Raw genomic sequence first — 21536 nt, 5'->3', positions numbered from 1 at the left:
GGTAGGGCAGTTAGGTTCAGAAAAATATGTATGATTTTATTGGTAAAGGCTCCTTAGATCATGAGAAAGGGTTTGGATTTTAATTTGTCATAGAGTACAGTGGGAAATACACAATAATGAGGAAATGACTAGGGGAGAGAAGCAGTGGAACCTCTTTAAAAGTTCATGGATAAACTAAAGAGAGTGTGCATTGTGGCCTGAGGTAAAGAGGTAAAGGGGTGACAGGGCATATGGTTTAGAGGACTATGTATTTGTTACATTAGAGTAAGAGGGTTAAAATGGAAGTCCTGAAATAGAAGGAGTATGACAGAAGAATAGTTAAAATTGGGAAGCAAAGAAGGCAAGACAAAAGATGAGTGAGGTTTCTAGCTGAAAAAAGGAAAAAAAAATTCAGATTATAGGAAGAAGAGAAGGCTTAAAGATAACAAGTTTATTTTGGAGGATGTTAAGTTTGAGATTCTGTGGATTTTCCAGTGGAGATTTTTCCTTCATGTTTTCAGCATATTTTGATTCACAAGTTTTTACTAAAATGAGGGAAGGTTTTCTTCAGAATATGAGTAAATGGGTGTAAATGAGACAGAAATAAGTGATCTTTCATTCTTCCGAAGTCTCATGCACTTTAACACTTAGTGTAGAACTCTCTACATCTATATTGTAATTCTATATTGATGATTACAGGATGCCAGCTTGAAGTTTTGAAAATTTAGAATTCCTTTTGCAGAAAATCACCATATAAAAATGATTTTATATCTCATTTAGTACTTTGCCATGGTAGGGTTTCTACCTATGCAAGGAAGCTGGAGTCCTGAAAATTCAAATGCATTACCCAAGGTTATCCATTTAGTCAGGGAGAAAACCAAATCTCAAGACAAGTTGTTTTATTTGTTTGTTTAATCTGCTAGACTAGTGATATTTTTACTGTGTTCCTCTGCCTCCCTCAAAAGGCAAAATACATTGGATAAAGAGTCACGAAAGAGGTGGTACAAAATGTACATTTAATGCTCAGATTTGATAATATGTGACTTTTGATAACTGCTTCAGCTTTCTGAGCATCAGTTTTCTTCCAATAAAATGAGAATGTTTACCTAACCAATATTGACAAGGAACTCTGAGATTCTTCTTAATCAGCTTTTTAATTTGAGATCTCTTTTTTTTTTCTAGTGGATGACTAGCAAAACAAGAGCAAACCAAAATGAAACAAAATAAAAATTATCAAGTCATATCAAGCACACATGTGGCAGATACATTTTGTGATAGATGACCATTTTTATATAAAAACATACAGGTATGTGTAGGTATTAATATATCCTGGACAGAAGCAAATCCCATCCCTTCCCCTCATGTCCCACCATCTTTATTACATGAATCTCTTGTTTACATTCATTTTTAAGATTTTATCTTATTAATGCTGGCATTTTTTTCTTTAAAACAAAACATCTTTAAGCAAAAATTAGAGCATTGTGCATTTTTATTTAGTTTTACAAATTCATATAATACTTCTCAATATTAAAAGCTTTTTTGTATTTAAGAAGATTTCCATATTTCTTGTTATATAGTCAAGGGGATATTCTGAAACCCTATGGTAGATCTGTTTGGCAACTGTGGAATGATACATAAGCACTTCGGTGCTTTAATAGCAACATTGACTTCGATACCTGGAAAATTATTTTTAGCTAGATACTCTTCTTCAATATTTAGAACATGACAACACAAGAAGCAGAACTACCATTATGGCATCTCATTTCTCAGTTCTAACATTTAGCATTTTCTTAGCACACAGAGCAAGTGAAACATGACATGGAGGTAGAACCCATTTACAGATTGAAATGGAGAAATTGCCTCCAACAAAAGCAGAACAGATAGGAAAGCCTCGAGGAGCTGTATCCTAAAGGGAAAGGTACAACCTGCCATTTCCACTTATTGTTGCAAAATTGAATGCTAATTAGGATAGTCTTTTTTTTTATTGCAAAAGCTTTGTAACAAAAATAACTATTTTGAGAAAATTGTTTTCATGTCCTTTTTTTAGCATTTTATTTTTAAAAAGTGCCTAAATTTACTTATGACTATGTGAAAAGTATTCAATACCTCCACATACATAAGTGATTATTATTCTGATTCCTATAGATTTTAATTTTATATCTTTGTAGATTAGACTGATATATAATGAGAACATTGTTTCAACTGATGCCTTTTGACATGTTTTGGGGTCAAGACTTCCTAATTTATCTTCTGTATCTTCTGATCTGTTCTCCCCATTATTTTTGTGTCTGCCTCCTTCCAAATATCTTTCCCTTTTGCTAGAGTGATCTTTTAATAACAAAAAGCTAGTCATGGGCTTTTTATATCTTGCTTTTATAAACCATCATAAATTTATTGAATCAATTCATATTTATTAAATATCTCCAACTATTAAGATTCAGCTAGTCAATGTAGAAGACACAAATATTGGTAGAATACAGTATTTTTTTCAAAAAATACAATCTAGTAATAAAGACACAAGAGATACCCATGTCAACATCAACCTTTACATTATGTAGTATTTCAGGATTACAAATGTCTCCTGTATATTATTATATGTGATGGTTACAATCTTTGAGGTAGGCAGGGCATACAGATGTATTCATTCATTTTTCCTGTCCACCAATATTAGTGAGCATTCACAATGTGCCAGGAATTGAGGTAGATTCTTGGGATGGAGAAAAGACAGAATCCACATTTTTTATGAGTTCAGAGATTAGCTGAGAGAAAGAACAAAAAGACAATGACAGTCCTCCGTGGCAAGGGCTCAATAGGGGGCGCAGCATCTTGTAGGAGAATGCAAAGGACAGAGAGCCATTCCAGACTCACCCAGTATTGAAACAGGGCTCTCTGCTCCTTAGGAATCACAAGACTTAAAACACGGTATTTCACTTCCTCCAGCCTCAGTTTCTTATCTGTAAAATGCATCTATTTCATATAGCTATAATGAGGACTAAATAAGGTAATCTAGGCACAGTATCTGATACATGAATTAGAACCAGCTCATCGCATCTCAAGGAACATGTTGATCTACTTGAACTCTCTCTCTCTTTCCCTCTCTCTCTCTTTCCCCAGCTCCATCTAGCTCTAAGTGCTTTTGTCTCTGCTCTCAATTGTCAGACATTTTGCAAGATAAACAGCAGCATGCAATGGGCTGGAGAAAGAAACAGCAGAAAGCACAGTCGAAAGAGCCCAGGGAACCATCCATCACAAAGCCATCCTGCCTTAAAGTGAAAAGTGCAATTCCCTAAGACTCTGGTAACACCCATGACTGAACATCCTGCTAATTTTAGCAAAATAATAAATATGAATAAGTCTTGTTTATGAAACTGTCTGCAGCCAGATGAGAGTGGGAAACGTTAGCTTGCAAGAAATAAAAACCGGAAGCTCTTCCCTTTCGATCGAAACCATGATTAACAAACATTTGTGAAATCCAAGTTGTTCTCAAAAGATCAGAACTGGTATGATTCAGTGATGGCAGCTTGCTAGAAATTTTTTTGTGTGTGTGCTTGCAAAACCAGCATCAATGATGTAGGAGAGTTGAAAGAGGCAGAGAGGATTAATGAAGGAGACTATTTAGGTTGGTATGGGCTAAAAACCCAATGAAATAAAAATTGTAACCAAGGAAGAACAACAGAATATTAAAGGAAAGTATTTTCTTCGATGTTACTGCCTGCTCAGCTTCTTGGAGAAAAAAATGAATATTTTTAGATCAGATTTAGAGAAATGAGTAATAAGAAAAGGGATAAAGGATTCTTTCTTAAGTGATTGTATCTTCTTTCTTCAACTGTGTTGTAAGTTCCTGGAGGATAGGGTTTACAAATTTCCTTCTCTGTTCTGTAGTGCCTGGAATAGGCCTTACATAGAGGAGGGGTTCAGCAATAAGTCCAGCTTGGCAGACAGCTATTAATAGAAGATAAGCAAAGCACAGGACATTGAATATTATTCTTTTATGTGAATTTATATTGACATTACTTTTTCTTCATTGAAAAAGAAAGAGGACAAAAAATAGAAATGAAGCTATGTCTTGTTACTTGATTTCACTTAGCATAGAGATTGGCCCACAGTGAATGTTGAATAAACATTTATTGAAGGAGTTAGTAAGGAAAACAACAGTATGCAGATATAATAGACAAGAAACACTGCATTTCTGTTGCTTTGGTAAAAAGACACATCCTCCTCTCGTTCCAGCAGGTAGACTGGCAGCAGCAGCAGCAGAGGTAAATGCAGCTGCCTTTTCTTAAAATAGGACCATGGGTCTACAGGTTAGAAACTGTGACCTCCTGAAGGGTGTGAGTCACCAGTTCTGCCAGTGGCTAGCACCCAGCTGGGTCCTTGACAATACCTGTGGAGTTGATTGAGCCATTTATTGTAGTTTACCTTTCCTCATCTCATTTCTTATCTGCCCAGGTTCTCCAGGTTTACCTGAAAATTTCTCCATTTACCCCATAAAAGCAAACAAAAATTTCAACTTTTTTGATATTATGTCCTTGTACATTTGTTGTCTTTCTTTCCTGATCGTAATATGATCTTTTGGAAAGGAAGCCTTTTGTGAGATATGGAACATGGATCTCCCGTCCACTTTCAAAGCCTCACACAGCAAAAGCTTTGAATTTATGATGTGTTCACCCTGGATTTCAGGCATGTCTTGGAATGTCAGGAGGACTTTTTGTTTTGTTAAAAACAAAGATCTAGTTACATGAGGTATCACGTCTCTCTGATCACAGAGTTCATTCACGCAATAAACAAATATTTATTGAGTACCAACTAGGTAGCAAAGTGCTAGGCTTAGAAAGCTATGACCTCTGCCCTCAGCGAAGATATACAATGAGCAAGTAAAGTAAGTATTTCAAAGAATTATGGAATACTATGGAAGCATATTACAAGATGATCTAAGCTAGTTTAGGGAAGGGGGTCAGAAAATACTTTCCTAGGGAAATGATATTTATGCTGAAACCTGAAGAGTGAACTGAGTCACACATATGTGGGTCAAAGAAAGGACAGTGGGCCATGGTTAAGAGATGAAATGTGGTTTTGAGGGCAGGATGGTGTCTGTCACGTCGGTCCTATCCTGGATTAGTTTATTTCAATTGACACCTGAGACCAAGTGCAATGTCAAAATAAAGAGGGTGAGGGCAGGGAAGCTGGTGGCTGGTAGTAAGTCTATAAAAGCTGGAGACTCTCCTCTGGGAGTCCAGTGTCTATTGCTTCCATGTTGAAAAGAAATTATTGCAATGACTTTTGTAACTCAGAGACACCATTGCACATATTAGCGGGCAGGAGGGCTTACTTTTTGTAAGCACCAACTATAATACAGTTACCACAGCAGCAAGTCAAACAAGTGCAGGGAAACAGACAAGATGGTAGTGTGATGATCACATACTTCAAGGCGATCATTCTCACATGCTCCACATTGCAGCCACTGACATTTTAAAAGCACAGATGTGATAACAGATACATTGTCATGCACCTGCTTATTTGCCCTCTCTTTGCTCTAGGAATTAATTCCAAACATGGCTTACAGTTCTCTTTATGACTTGGTCCTTTGATACATTTATAAATTTGAATATATTTAATATATATTCATAATAATACAAATTTATTCATATTATTTGTATATTAAATAGTATATTTAACATATTCAAGTATGTAAATATCAAGATTTATTATTTATTAATTATCCTCCACTTTTCTACCCATCCACCCAACACATACACACACACTCACACACACACACACACACACACAGTATATCCTGTATTCCATTATTCATCCATTTTTAACTCTGTTTACATCTCTGGAATCACCATACTCTCTGAACTGCAGACTTGCATTTGTTGCCTCCTCTGCTTAGTATTTCTCTGTCCCACCTCCCCTCTGGCCCCTCTGGCTTGACAAACAACTACTTGTTCTTTAAAATCTCCTCTAGAAATCCTTTCCTACAGCCCCAATACTAGATATGGTACCCCCTTCCTAATTTCAAAGCACCCTACACATGTTTCTCATAATGTTTATGCTACTTTATAGTAATTGTCTGATTACTTGTCCTTATCTCTCATAAGACTATAAGCTCCCAGAGGACAAATGCAGTGTCTTATGATTCACAACATCGTTCCTGTCACATGGTAAGTGCTTCCTATATATTTGTTGGATACATATCTGACTTCTCCTACTTTTATGACAGTTACTGCCATGCCCCATATCTGACTTGATTCCATGTGTATCTGCTTGTATTTGCTGCCTGCTTGTCCATGTTGGAGAGAGGAAGCCCAGAGCTTTGTTTGCCTAACAGAAAGATGGGTGTAGTTTTAGTTGTTTTTCTAAAAATGGCATCTAGTTCTGCCAAGTTGTCTCAAGCATCCTGTCAGTGCTTCAGAAATTGTTTCTTTGTTGGAAATTTGACCTCATCATCAACAGATATATTTAGCTCTGAGATCTAATAGATGTCTTTTTGAAGGACTACTGAGCAAAGATAACTGAAATCTCCAGGTGTGCCTCTCCCAAGAAGGTCTACTAAATAAATCTGTTAGCTGGTGGAGCCTCTTCCACTTGTGCTTCCTGGGGCATGCTTCTTGCTTCTGTTTGTGGCCACCAACCCTGAGGAGCTGGGGTGACTCACTTGAGTGGTAAATTTGGGAAGAAAAACCAGGATACTTAGTTAACTGTGGCTGTTTTCCTCTTGGGTGCAAGCTGCTCACAAGGAACAAAATGCTCACAGGAAACAGAAGCTCTGTTTTTCATGGGGCCAGGCCCTGTCTCTGAGGTGGTGGTAGTGGAGTTGGCTTGGGTGAGAAGTCTGTTAAATGAGATACTCTATTAGAAAGGCCACCGGGTGTCAGGGTAAGCTATGTGCTCCAACTTGGCCTTTACCAAGGTTATGCTTCAGTTTCCCACCTGCCATTTGTCTTATTTATCAATTTGTCTAAAATATAAATGAGAAAGACACTTTCTCAAAGACCCCTAGTAAAATCCAATCTTTAAAAAAGTGCTTGGGAACTCTGATGATTCTTCTCCTAAGCTGCACTCTAGCTCCATCGATATCCCTTCTTCAGAAAGTTACTTATGAACAGACCCTGGACTTCTATATCTGGGGATTGATTCCAGCTTCAGCAGAAGGCAAAAATTTGGCTTACAGTGGATACAAAAGGAGGATTTAATTTCACTGACTCCAGTGTCTGCTGGCTTGATTGGTATCAGACTCTTTGCCTTTACTTAAATTCAATGTTTGTGTGTACCTAGTACGTGAGCACTTGGCTGAGTTCTAACTCATTGCCATGTCTTTATTACTGATCTCCCCACAAGTCTCAGGTCCAGACCACTTCCATGTTTGCTCCAAACATTTGTTCTGAGGATTTTTTTGGTCCTCCTGGGACTGACTTTCCACATATCTGTATTCCATCACTCCCACACACCTGGCATAGTGAAATTAGAGACATCAGCTGTTATGTTGCTTTTTATAAAAGACAGCATGGCATAGAGAGAAATACCAGGGACTTTACCACCAGAAACATCTAGTTTGAATTATATTCCAACATTTACTTGTTCCACGATCTTAAACAATAGTAATGGCAACCACCAATTACTGACTGCTTACTCTGTGTTGGGCATTTTCTGAGATATGTTATGTCTAATATCTGTCAATCAGATATGCCAGCTTTGCAAGATATCGATATCACCACCATTTAAAAATGAGAAAGCCAGAGAGGCTATGGATTACATATAAAAGTACTTTAGCATAGTTCCTGCCACATGATAGGCATTCAAAAGAAAAAAATTGCTTAACTTTCCTTCTTGTTTTATTTTTATAATAGTTTTACATGTAGAAGATTCAAAAATCATAATGATAAGCAATATATGCCCTAAGAAATTTTGATCACTTCCCTGTCCTCATTTACCCTATTCTCCTTCATTCCCTGTACATAACCATTTTTAACCATTTTGTATTTTTTGTTTATACTTATACTATTTATTTATGCAATATAGGAAGATATGTGTACATACACACATGTATTTTCCACCTTTGAAATAACTTGCAGCATAATATGTTCTCTATAAAATATCACTATTTTTTTATTGGAGAAGTCCAATATCTTTGTGTTAACCTTGATTTCTCTTTTCCCTCAGTCCCAACATACAATCCTTTACAAATCTTGTCTACCTTCAGAATGTAAATTGTATAACCATTTGTCACTTCCTCCACTCTGGTCCAAGTCACCACCCTCTCCATCTTGGATTGCTGCAATAACATTCTGCTTTACTCTGGTCCAACTCACTCCCATCTCTATCCTGGATTACTGCAGTAATATCCACAACAGTCCCCATGGCTGTGCCTGACCTCCACAGTTATTCTCACAGTAGTCAGAATAACTGTTTCAAACTCAAAGTCAGATTGTGTCACTATTTTCCTAAATCTAACTGTAAAATGCACCCCATTAAACTCAGAGTAAAATCTAAAGTTATGACACTGGAGTACTTGTTAGCTATTGCTGTGCAACAAACCACCCCAAAATTTAGTGGCTTTAAACAGCAACCATATGTTTCTTCATGATTCTTTAATTTGGGCTGGGTTTACCTGAGTTTAGTCTTCTTCTGGACTCACACAAGGGCCCCATGGGTTGCCAGGAGTCACTTGTCTAGGATTCACCTGGGACTGATGACTTCAGAATACTTTTATTCATACATATGGCAGTTCTCTAGGGTCGTTGGCTCAGATGCCTCAGTTCTTTCTTACATGGGCTTTCCAGTAGGATAATCTGTAGCAGGATCACTTCTTTATATGGCCTTCTTAACTTCATAACTTTTTTTTCTCATAACTTCTTTCAGGAGTGTAAACATGAAAGTAGCAAAGCCTCTTGAGCCTAGGCTTTGGCACTCAGATAACATCACATATGCCACATTCTATTTGTAAAATCAAGTCCAAACTTCCAGCTTAGAGTCAAGGTTTGTATAAATATGCTTCATATCTTGAAGAGAAATTTCAATCTACCACAACTAGCCTATGAGCACTTCATGATCTGACCCCTGAGACCTCATCACTCATTCTCAGCCACACTCACTCTGTGCTAGCCATACAATTAGCCTCACCATTGTTCCTCATAACGACCAGGTGTACACCAGCCTCAGGTAAGTTTCTTCCGCGTGGGCTGTGGTTTGTCTACACATCGCTCACTTCCTCATTTCCTTTAAGTCTTTGCTGATCTGTCCCCATTCAGTGAGGTAAACCCTTTTAAATCATAGGCTTCATTCATTGAACATCCTATCTACATGTTCTTTACTTGTTCTTATTTTATTCATAACACCTATTTTCTTTTATGTAGAATAATAGCTTACTCATTATGTCTACTTTTCAGTTTTTCCTCCTTCTGCTGGAGAGTGTGAATATTTTTTTAATTTTACTTAAGTTCCGGGATACATTTGCAGAATGAGCAGGTTTGTTACATACATGTACACGTACCATGGTGGTTTGCTGCACCTGTTGACCTGTTCTCTAAGTTCCCTCCCCTTGCCCCCCACCTCCCAACAGTCCCTGGTGTTTGTTGTTCCCCTCTCTGTGTCCATGTATTCTCACTGTTCAACTCCCACTTAAGAGTGAAAACATGCGGTGTTTGGTTTTCTGTTCCTGTGTTAGTTTGCTCAGGATAATGGCATCGAGCTTCATCTATGTCCCTGCAAAGGAGATGATTTCATTCCTTTTTATGGCTGCATAGTATTCCATGGTGTATATTTACCACATTCTCTTTATCCAGTCTATCACTGATGAGCATTTGGGTTGGTTCCATGACTTTGCTATTATACATAGTGCTGCAATAAACATACATATGCATTGTCTTTATAGCAGAATGATTTATGTTCATTAGGTATATACCCAGAAATGGGATTACTGGGTCAAATGGTATTTCTGGTTCTAGATACTTGAGGAATTGCCATACTGTCTTCCACAATGGTTGAACTTATTTACATTCCCACTAACAGTGTAAAAGCGTTCCTATTTCTTTGCAACCTCACCAGCGTCAGTTGTTTCTTGACTTTTTAAAAATCACCATTCTGACTGGCATGAGATGGTATCTCATTGTAGTTTTGATTTACATTTCTCTAATGATGAGTGATATTGAGCTTCTTTTCATATGTTTATTGGCTGCGTAAATGTCTTCATTTGAGAAGTGTCTGTTCATATCATTTGCCTACTTTTTGATGGGGTTGTTTGTGTCTTTCATGTAAATTTGTTTAAGTCCCTTGTAAATTCTGGATATTAGACCTTTGTCAGAAGGTTATATTGCAAAAATCTTCTCCTATTCTGTAGGTTGCCTGTTCACTCTGACGATGGTTGCTTTTGCTGTGCAGAAGCTCTTTAATTAGATCCCATTTGTCAATTTTGGCTTTTGTTGCAATTGCTTTTGGTGTTTTCATCATGAAGTGTTTGCCCATGTCTATGTCCTGAATAGTATTGCCTAGGTTTTCTTCTAGGGTTTTTATGGTTTGGGGTTTTACATTTAAGTCTTTAATCCATCTTGAGTTAATTTTTGTATAACGTTTAAGGAAGGGGTCCAGCTTCAGTTTTCTGCATATGGCTAGCCGGTTTTCCCAGTACCATTAATTGAATAGGAGATTATTTCCCCATAGTTTGTTTTTTGTCAGGTTTGTTGAAGATCAGAAGGTTGTAGATGTGTGGTGTTATTTCTGAGGTCTCTATTCTGTTCCATGTTTGTATGTCTGTTTTGGTACCAGTATCATGCTGTTTGATTATTGTAGCCTTGTAGTATGGTTTGAAGTCAGGTAGCATAATGACTCCAGCTCTCCAGCTTTGTTCTCTTTGCTTAGGATTGTCTTGGCTATATGGGGTCTCCTTTGATTCCATATGAAATTTAAGGTAGTTTCTTCTGATTCTGTGAAGAATGTCAATGGTAGTTTGATGGGAATAGCATTGGAACTATAAATTACTTTGGGCAGTATGGCCATTTTCACAATACTGATTCTTCCTGTCCGTAAGGATGGAATGTTTTTCCATTTGTTTGTGTCCTCTCTCATTTCCTTGAGTGGTGATTTGTAATTCCCCTTGAAGAGGTCTATCACATCCCTTGTTAGCTGTATTGCTATGTATTTTATTCTCTTTGTAGGAATTGTGATTGGGAGTTCATTCATGATTTGGTTCTCTGCTTCCCTACTGTTGATGTATAGGAATGCTTGTGATTTGTGCACATTGATTTTGTATCCTGAGACTTTGCTGAAATTGCTTATCAGCTTAAAGAGTTTTTGGGCTGAGATGGTGGGGTTTTCTAAATATAGAATCATATTGTCTACAAATAGAGACAATTTGACTTGCTCTCTTTCTATTTGAATAGGCTTTATTTCTTTCTCTTGCCTGATTGCCCTGGCCAGAACTTCCAATACTGTGTTGAATAGGAGTGGTGAGAGAGGGCATCCTTGTCTTATGCCAGTTTTCAAAGGGAATGCTTCCGGCTTTTGCCCATTTAATATGATATTGGCTGTGGGTTTGTCATACTTAGCTCTTGTTATTTTGAGATATCTTCCATCAACACCTAGTTTATTAAGATTTTACATGAAGGGCTGTTGAATTTTATCAAAGGACTTTTTTTCAATCTATTGAGATAATCATGTGGTTTTTGTCTTTGGTTCTGTTTATGTGATGGATTATGTTTATTGATTTTCATATGTTGAACAAGCCTTGCATCCCAGAGATGCAGCTGACTTGATTGTAGTGGATAAGTTTGTTGACATGCTGCTGGATTCTGTATGTCAGTATTTTATTGAGGATTTTCACATCGATGTTCATCAGGGATATAGGCCTGAAGTTTTCTTTTTTTTTGGTTGTGTCTCTGCCAAGTTTTGTTACAAGGATGATGCTCACTTCATAAAATGATTTAGGGAGGAGTCCCTCCTTTTCAGTTGTTTGGAATAGTTTCAGAAGGAATGGTACTGGCTCCTCTTTGTACCTCTGGTAGAATTCGGCTGTGAATCTGTCTGGTCCTGGGCTTCTTTTGGTTGGTAGGCTGTTAATTATTGGTTCAATTTCAGTACTTCTTATTGGTCTATTCAGGTTTTTTACTTCTTCCTGGTTTAGTATTGGGAGGGTATACATGTCCAGGAATTTATCCATTTCTTCTAGATTTTCTAGTTTATTTGTGTAGAGGTGTTTATAGTATTCTCTGATGGTAGTTTGTATTACTGTGGGGTGAGTGGTTATATTGCCTTTATCATATTTTATTGTGTCTGTTTGATTCTTCTCTCTTTTCTTCTTTATTCTTCTAGCTAGTGGTCTATTTTGTTAAGTTTTTAAAAAAACCATCTCTGGGATTCATTGATTTTTTGGAGGGTTTTTCATGTTTCTATCTCCTTTAATTCTGCTCTGATCTTAGATATTTCTTGTCTTCTGCTAGTTTTTGGATTAGTTGGCTTTTTTCTATCGCTTTTAATTGTGATGTTAGGGCGATGATTTGAGATCTTTCTGGCTTTCTGATATGGGCATTCAGTGCTATAAATTTCCCTCTTAACAATGCTTTAGCTGTGTCCCAGAGATTCTGGTACATTGTCTCTTTGTTTTCATTGGTTTCAAAGAACTTCCTGATTTCTGCCTTAATTTAGTTATTTACCAGGAGTCATTCAGGAGCAGGTTGTTCAATTTCTATGTAATTGTTTGGTTTTGAGTGAGTTTCTTAATCCTGAGTTCTAATTTGAATGCACTGTGGTCTGAGAGACTGTTTGTTATGATTTCAGTTCTTCTGCATTTGCTGAGTGTTTTACTTCAAATCACGTGGTCAATTTTAGAATAAGTGCCATGTGGCACTGAGAAGAACATATTCTGTTGATTTGGGGTGGAGAGTTCTGTAGATGTCCTCTTGATCCAGAGCTGAGTTCAAGTCCTGAATATCCTTGTTAATTTTCTGTCTCATCGATCTGTCTGATATTGAGAGTGGAGTGTTAATGTCTCCCATTATTATTGTGTAGGAGTCTAAATCTCTTTGTAGGTCTCTAAGAACTTGTTTTATGAATCTGGGTGCTCCTGTATTGGATCCATATATATTTAAGATAGTTCTTCTTGTTTAATTGTTCCCTTTACCATTATGTAATACTTTTCTTTATCTTTTTTTGATCTTTGTTGGTTTAATGTCTGTTTTGTCAGAGACTAGGATTGCAACCCCTGATTTTTTTTGTTTTTTTGTTCTTCTTTTTTTTTTGCTTTCCATTTGCTTAGTAAATATTCCTCCATTCCTTTATTTTGAGCCTATGTGTGTCTTTGCATGTGAGATGGGTCTCCTGAATACTGCACACCAATGGGTCTTGACTGTTTATCCAATTTGCCAGTCTGTATCTTTTAATTGGGGCGTTTAGCCCATTTACATTTAAGGTTAGTATTATTATGTGTGAATTTGATCCTGTCATCATGATGCTATCTGGTTATTTTGCACACTAGTTGATGCCGTTTCTTCATAGTGACATTGGTCTTTATATTTTGGTGTGTTTTTGCGGTGGCTGGTACTGGTTTTTTCTTTCCATATTTAGTGTTTCCTTCAGGAGGTCTTGCAAGGCAGGCCTGATGATGACAAAACCCCTCCACGTTTGCTTGTCTGGAAAGGATTTTATTTCTCCTTCGCTTATGAAGCTTAGTTAGATAGCGAGGATGGGAAATTCCAGTTAAACTGAGTTAGCAGGATTCTGGCTAAAACTGGACAATGGAGAGACAAACACAGAAGCCCAAAAGCCAAGTCCTAGTTACAATGAGAACTCAGAAGAACCTGATCAAAGTTTGGTTAAGGGAAGAATCTTTGTTAGTAGTCAGAAACATTGAAGCTAAGTAAAATTTCCAAAATGCTTATGCATACCTAGCCACCTAACTGAAGTGATGTCATTTACTACAATATTTTCCACAATTCAACTTTTAGAACATATTTGTTTAATTTGTGATGCTCTTCTTAAAGATTTAGGAAACTGAAGCCAAACAGTCTTTCTGGGGGGAGTAGGGGTCTTTCTAGTTGTGTTACGGACAGAGGCTACATTTTCTATATTGATTATTCTTTCAAAGAAAGGAATATAGCATTTTCTATAGGTCATAAATGCATGCACTTGAGAATAAGCCAAGGAATAAATTTATATTGTATAAATGAAGTAGTCAAAGGCACTGTGCAGCCTACCCTGAAACTTGTGGAACAAAGAGCATAATTCAGGGCAGAGGTGATTCTATAGCAGACACCAGCCCCAGAACATTTCATCAAAGAGAATGCTATGTGAAAGACTAATTACTCTGTTGAAAAAAGCACAACTGAAAATACTAATTAATTCACTCTACGATTAAAAAAAGTACTGATGATTTGTTGTTCAAATTGATTGAACTTAATACAGCTAAGACATTTTCAAGCCCTGGGAAGCTAGCTTCATTTTTTAAAATTATTGTGCATGATAGTTTTTTTGGCCATTTCTTTAATGACTAAGAATAAAGGGATTAGACTAGAGAGATTTAGAAAAAATAAGTTAACATAAAACTGAGGAGCACCACTTTTCTTCTGTACTTGTTCTACAGGTTGCTGGGAAATTAACTTCAGCAATTCACTAAAGCCATAAACACAGTAGGGTTTTTCTTTTTTTTTTTTAATGAATTTATACCAGTTTATTCAACTTTATAAAGATATCATAAGTCAAGCAGCAGGAGTATTGGCACAGAGCTCCACCTCTGAAGAACCTGATGAAAACTCATCCTCTGTAACATCTTGTCAGGCTAGTCTTTGGATGGGAAGGTATATAATGCATAAGTACTGTACCCCAAAACTGCTCTCAGATACAATACCAACTGAGAAAAAAAAAGATTTAAGATGCCACAGTAGGGTTTTTCACAAGAACAACCATAAAGCCACACCTTAAAGAAGAATGAAGTTAATAGGGCAGACTATTGAACATCTTAACTTATGCCAAAGATTTCCCTTTGTGAATAAAAATGTATTGATTAACTAACTGGCTATGTTGGCCAAAAAAATAATAGAACCAAGTGAGAGAATTAGGTGTGGAGATACCAGATCAGAACAAATCCATAAGACAGTCACACAAGCATAAGTCTGATAGTCACACATCTCTAGCATATGAGTTCAAATAGATATTATTATTTTCATATATATTAACACTACTAAGGAATAATTTATTTTTAACTTTAAAAGTAAACATTTTATAGCACATTTTTGAGGATTCTGCGATTACTTAAAGTCAGACTCTGTTGTTTATGTTTTTTAAATTGAAGGGTTCAATACAAGAGTCCATAAATAACGTAAAATATAAAATAAAAACCACAGCTCACCCATTTAGTAAATGTCATAGAAGTATATTACAACATTGAAATTTGTTACCAGTGTGGTGACCTAAGATGCCTACTTTTTGATACATGGATATAAACTATTTTAAAAATTAAGATATAAGAAATTGAAACAAAAAGAAGGCAGAACATGAGCTTTTGAAATGAGAATTTTCAAATTGTAAAGACAGGTTCACTGTAGCCTCTCAATCAAACATGTATACCACCTAAATATTATGTTGTAAAGATAGATACGTTTTATGCTCTGATGACTCCTGCTTATAAAATATGTATATAATAACAAAACAGAGCAGATCATCAAATTGAGGCATTAATGTATCCCATGGATTGACAAAGATACAGATTTTATTTCATTGTAATTTCAGGCTTTATAGCTACAAAGTTCATCAAGCCAATATTTTGAATGAATAACTTTCCTTCTGAAAGACTAATAACATTTTCTGTTTAACAATAATACTCCAAATTATACTATAAGGCTACAGTAATCAAAATAGCATGGTGCAACTCTGGGCACATTGACCATGGGTTAGCCTGCTCCATAAGGCATAGTAAATAATAATAATAATAAAACAGTACAAGAAACAGACACATAAACTAGTGAAATAGAGTAGAAAATCTAGAAATAAATTTGCACACCTATAACCATCTGATCTTCAACAAAATTAACAAAAATAAGCAAAAGAAAAAGAACTTCCCATTCAATAAATCGTGCTGGGATAACTGGCTAGCCATATGTGGAAGATTAAAACTGTGCCCCAACTTCTCATCATACACAAAAATTAACTCAAAATGGATTAAAACTTTAAATATAAGGCTTCAAACAATAAAAATCCTAGAAGAAAACCTGGGAAATACCCTTCTCAACATAGGCTTTGCTAAAGAATTTATGGCTGAGTCCCCAAAAGCAATGCAACAAAACCAAAAATTGACAAGTGGAGCCTAATTAAACTAAAGAGCTTCTGCACAGCGAAAGAAATTACCAACAGAGTAAACAGCCTACAGAATGGGAGAAAATATTTACAAACTTTGCATCTGACAAAGGTCTAATATCCAGAATCTACAAGGAACTTAAACAAATCAACCAGCAAAAGCAACGACAACAAAAATCTAATTAAAAAGTGAGCAAAGGACATGAACCAGACATATCTCAAAAGAGGATGTGCAAGTGGCCAACAAACATATGAAAAAATTACTCATTATCACTATCATCATATCACATTATCATCAGAAAAATGCAAATCAAAACCGTAAAATAATCTCACACCAATCATAATGGCTATTAAAAAGTCAAAAAACAACAAATGTGGTTGGGACTGTAGAGAAAAGGGAAGGCTTATACACTGTCAGTGGGAACGCAAACTAGTTCAGCCACTCTAGAAAGCTGTTTAGAGATTTCTCGAAGAACTTAAAATACAGCTACCATTAGACTCAGTCATCCTACTACTTTGGGTATACTGGTATATACTTAAAGGAAAATAATTCATTCTATCAAAGATGCACACACCTGTATGTTCATTGCAATACAGTTCACAATAGGAAAGATATGGCATCAGCTTAGGTACCCATCAATGGTGCATTGAATAAAGAAAATGTACATTTACACCATGGAATACTATGCAGCCATAAAAAAGAACAAAATCTTGTCCTTTGCAGCAACATGGATGGAGCTGGAGGCCATTAACCTAAGCAAATTAATAATGCAAGAACAGAAAAACAAATAGTCCATATTCTCATTTATAAGCAAGTGATAAACAATAAATACACATGAACATAAAAATGGGAACAATAAACACTGGAGACCACTAGAAGGTGAGGGGGCGAGTGGGGCATAAGCTGGAGAACCACCTGTTGGGTACTATGCTTACTGTCTGGGTGATGGAATCATTAGAACCCCAAGCCAGAATGTCACGCAATTTACCCATGTAACAAATGTGCATGTGTACTCTTTAATTGACAATAAAATTTGAAATTTAAAAAAAAGAGGACCCAAAATGCCAAATGACCTTTCTCACTCAGCAATTAATTGTCCATTGCTAATCCAGCTGATAAATTCTCTCAGCCATGCCCACTACTGAGATAGAAGTTTAGTTACTTTTTTTAAATTAAAACTTTTTTTTTTTTTAGAGATAGAATCTCACTCACCCATGCTTGAATGTAGTGGAGCGATCATAGCTCACTGCTGCCTCGACCTCCTGGGCTCAAATGATCCTCCTGCCCCAACCTCTCAAGCAGCTAGGAAGTTAAACAACTTTTAAAGGCAGTCAAATTATAAAACTTTTCAGTTTTGTCTTGAGTCTGACCGATTCTCACTCTTGCATCCTTTCAGTCTCCTTTTACCCAACTACCCCCCATGCCTGCAACATTAGTAAGACAAATGGAGAAAGTTCTTTTAGAGTGGGACAGAGAGGAGACTGTTTTTGCCAACTCTACAGTACATAAAGGATTTGAATTATAGAATAAGGATAAGTATAGAGTCAAAAAAGTTCACACTAGTGAAATATCAAATGTGTAGCCAGAGGAATGTTACTGTCATATAGACGGGGTGTCAAAGTTGGCTTTTTTGTTAAGGTTTATGTGCATATTTATGCACTATCGACCTTTGAAATCTGCCTCTCTTTATTAGGCAATTTTTATAATTAAAAAGAAATTAAAGCTAATCTCTAATGTATGCAGAATGATTGACAGGCTTTCATGTTGAACCTATCCCTTAATTGTCCAACTCATAAAAAACATGCCACCCATTTTATTATTTTAGGATGTTCATATTGTTGATTTACAAAATGTATGAGACTATAAAAAGGATTCAGTTCTGTTATCTGGCCATGGACTTGTCAAACTTCCCACGCAATCAAACGACTGCGTAAACAGATGGGTGTTGAGTTTTGTCAAAATAAAGTGGGAGGCTAGTTCTGGAGATAGAAATCATCCTTAGGGAAATACTAATCCACTGACAGTATTGTAGAATCCAAGCTTTGGTAGAAGTGTGTTTGTCTGGCTTCAACTCTTTAAGGTGCTATAGAGATGGCAATGTGACTTAACCAGTTAGTAGCCCTGGCCACAAACATGGAGAATTTAATGATGAAAATGTGTATCTTACACTACATTGAAATTAAGTCAATTTATAAATTTTTTAAAAAGTGAAACAATCAACTTTGATTTAAATGCTCTCGTGAGTAGGTACAAAAATGATATGAAAGTTTGTTTTTCATAGTTTGAAAAACATGTAAATCAAATTATTAGATTGGTGCAAAAGTTATTGCGAGTTTTGCCGTAACATTGGCAAAAAACAATCTAATCTAATACATAATACGTAAACTTAATTAAGGTGTGCAAAATGTGTCCAACATAGTGATTTAGAGAAAGCACAGAAAAAGCTCTTGCTCCAACCAGATGGGAACTGTTCACCCAAATCCACTCAAATTCTGAGGGACATTAGTTCTCTCTGTTTTTCTAACCTAAATTCTCTGTTTTATCCCTCTCTCATTCAAATGTTTCTGGCTTCTGATTTTCAATATAAAATTCCAGCCACTTCTAAGGCATATTACTTTAGCCCTCCATAATCTCTCTCTCTTTAGAAACACTTAACATTGCACCAAAAAGAGGACTTGGCACTTAGAAGGCACTCAAGAAATATTTCCCGAATAAAAGAGTAAACATGCACAGTGCTTTACAAAGTGGTCTTATACATAACTATGTTTTTGATACTGAGAGCAATCCCACATGCTGGGGATAAGACAGATATTATTCTTTTATTTTTATACTGGCTAACAAATTCAGATAGCTTTATGCCTTATCCTAGAAAGAGCACAGCCCAGGTGGGAACATAGGTTTTGTACCTAATGTAGTTCTCTCACCCCTTCTCCTGCTAGCCCTTTGACCTGGATTATTTGCATCCTGAAATTGCATGCAATAACGTATTCTTTTAAGAATGAAGTTATTCTGAAAGCGTCCATTTTTTATGTAATATTTTTAGAGACTAAATAATTTAAGACATTGCCTTATATGGAAGTAAAAATAGGTATATTGAGGAGAATTCACAAGTCACATTATTTAAAAAAAAGATATATCAAAGATTGACATGGGACAAGCATGTATCTTTTAGAAAGCTTTCCTCTTCATATCTGTTCATGCTTTCCCAAAACACACACACACACACACACACACACACACACACACACAGACACACACTGAGTTGAAGACAGTATTCAGCCCAGAAAAGAACCCAAGAATTACATACAAAAAGTGTAAATACAGAAACAAGAAACAAAAATGAAAAACAAATGAAACCTAACTGCATTCCAGGGAATGATTTCTACTCGGGTGTAGAAAAAGTGCAGAACACAATAGAGGGAATTTCAAGGTAACTCTAACGACCACAAAAGAAAATAAAGGTCAACAAAAAAATAATAATGGAAACATAATTTTATGCAAAGTGAAATGAACATAATAAAGCCTTCCTTATGTTAGCCATGAGTCAGAGAAGGCAATGTCTCATTTTGATTGTCTGCTCCACCCCATGTATACCAGAGGGAAGCCTGCCTTTTGACATAATCCATTCTTTATACAAAATCCCCAGTCAGTTCCCATTCAAAAGAGAGACCCATTTGGGAAACCAGTCTATATAAATATACGAGGATCCTTTCTAAGCTATGTAGAATCTTAGAACAGAGGAATGTTACTGTCATATAGACGGGGTGTCAAAGTTGGCTTTTTTGTTAAGGTTTATGTGCATATTTATGCACTATCGACCTTGGAAATCTGCCTCTCTTTATTAGGCAATTTTTATAATTAAAAAGAAATTAAAGCTAATCTCTAATGTATGCAGAATGATTGACAGGCTTTCATGTTGAACCTATCCCTTAATTGTCCAACTCATAAAAAACATGCCACCCATTTTATTATTTTAGGATGTTCATATTGTTGATTTACAAAATGTATATCAACCTGGTCTTCTATTTGTTAACATAAACACAAAACAAGAATAGCAGAATTGAGGAAAAGCAAAAACCCAAAAGACAGTAGGGGATCCTAGGTTGAATCTGGGAAGAGAAAAAGGGTATTAGTGGAAAAACTGGTGAAATCTGAACAGAATTTGTAGTTGAGTTAATAGTAATGTACCAATGTTTATTTCTTACTTTTGTTAAATGCACTGTGGTAACCTTAGGGGAAGATGAGTGAAGCATATAGGGGAAACTCTGTACTATATTTGCGACTTTTCTGTAAATCTAAAATCAGTGCAAAAACAATTAAAGATTTTTAAAAATCTGAAAGAAAGGATTAGGTGAACAAATGGCTGACAAAGTTTATTAAAAATATAGATCCTAAATTAAAAATAAGTCTAACTAACAGAATGATAACCATTCAAGTTTAAATTAGGGACTGAAAGATGAAAAGGAGGTCTCCCAAAATATAAAACAAGAAGAAAAAGATAGAAAATATTTAAAAATATTAAGAAGCATAAAGAGTTAATCAGAAGGTCCAATAGCCATCTAATAGTAGTTATATAGGAGGGACCACAATAAAAAAAGAAAATATATTAGAAAAACATTAATATTCAGAAATTTTCAGAAGTTAGAGAAGAATAAATCCTCAGAATTAAAGTTTCCATTGAGTGTAAGGCAGGATAAATAAAGATACACATTTATATATCGGGTTGCAATTTCAAAACCTCAAGGATACACCCCCCTCCCCCCAAAAAAATCTTAAAGCTTTTGCAAGAGTAGAGGAGTCAGCTTGCCTGCAGATAAACCAAAATCAAATAGTTATCAAGAATGTGACTTGACCTCTATTTCAGATGACACTGGTTTCAATTCCGATTGTAACACAACTTTATCATAAAACAGTGAACAAACCACTTCTGTTTTTAAGCTACATATTTTTACTTGAATTATGGGCAATAATAGAACATATTTCATTGGTTTAAGTATTAAATGATATCAATGTATACGCATAGTAACCTCACTCTTCGTAAACTCTTGATAAATATTACCTTTATTATGATGATTAAGAATTCTATTGAGTGCAAAAATATTTTTTGAAAACTGAGGAAAAATGATTTTGAAGTTAAATTTCAATAAGCAGCCAAATTATTACCAAACATGAGAGAAGAATAATGACAATTTAAATTATAAACAGGCTCCAACAGTTCAACATTTGCAGACTGTATTGAAATAATTTCCTACAGATTTATAATATCCAAATGAAA

General features: G+C 35.8%; 1 annotated feature.

The window, feature by feature from the left end:
* Positions 3029 to 3323: a silencer, noted in NCBI's record as "tiled region #819; HepG2 Repressive non-DNase unmatched - State 24:Quies, and K562 Repressive non-DNase unmatched - State 24:Quies". NCBI's record gives its function as "represses a minimal TATA promoter and a strong SV40 promoter by Sharpr-MPRA in HepG2 and K562 cells {active_cell/tissue: HepG2 | K562}" and the evidence as "EXISTENCE:reporter gene assay evidence [ECO:0000049][PMID:27701403]".

Source organism: Homo sapiens, chromosome 12 (genome assembly GCF_000001405.40).
Source record: "Homo sapiens chromosome 12, GRCh38.p14 Primary Assembly".
Taxonomy (NCBI): Eukaryota; Metazoa; Chordata; class Mammalia; order Primates; family Hominidae; genus Homo; species Homo sapiens.
The sequence above is the reverse complement of the archived record's forward strand: the minus strand, read 5'-3'. Positions and strand labels throughout refer to the sequence as shown.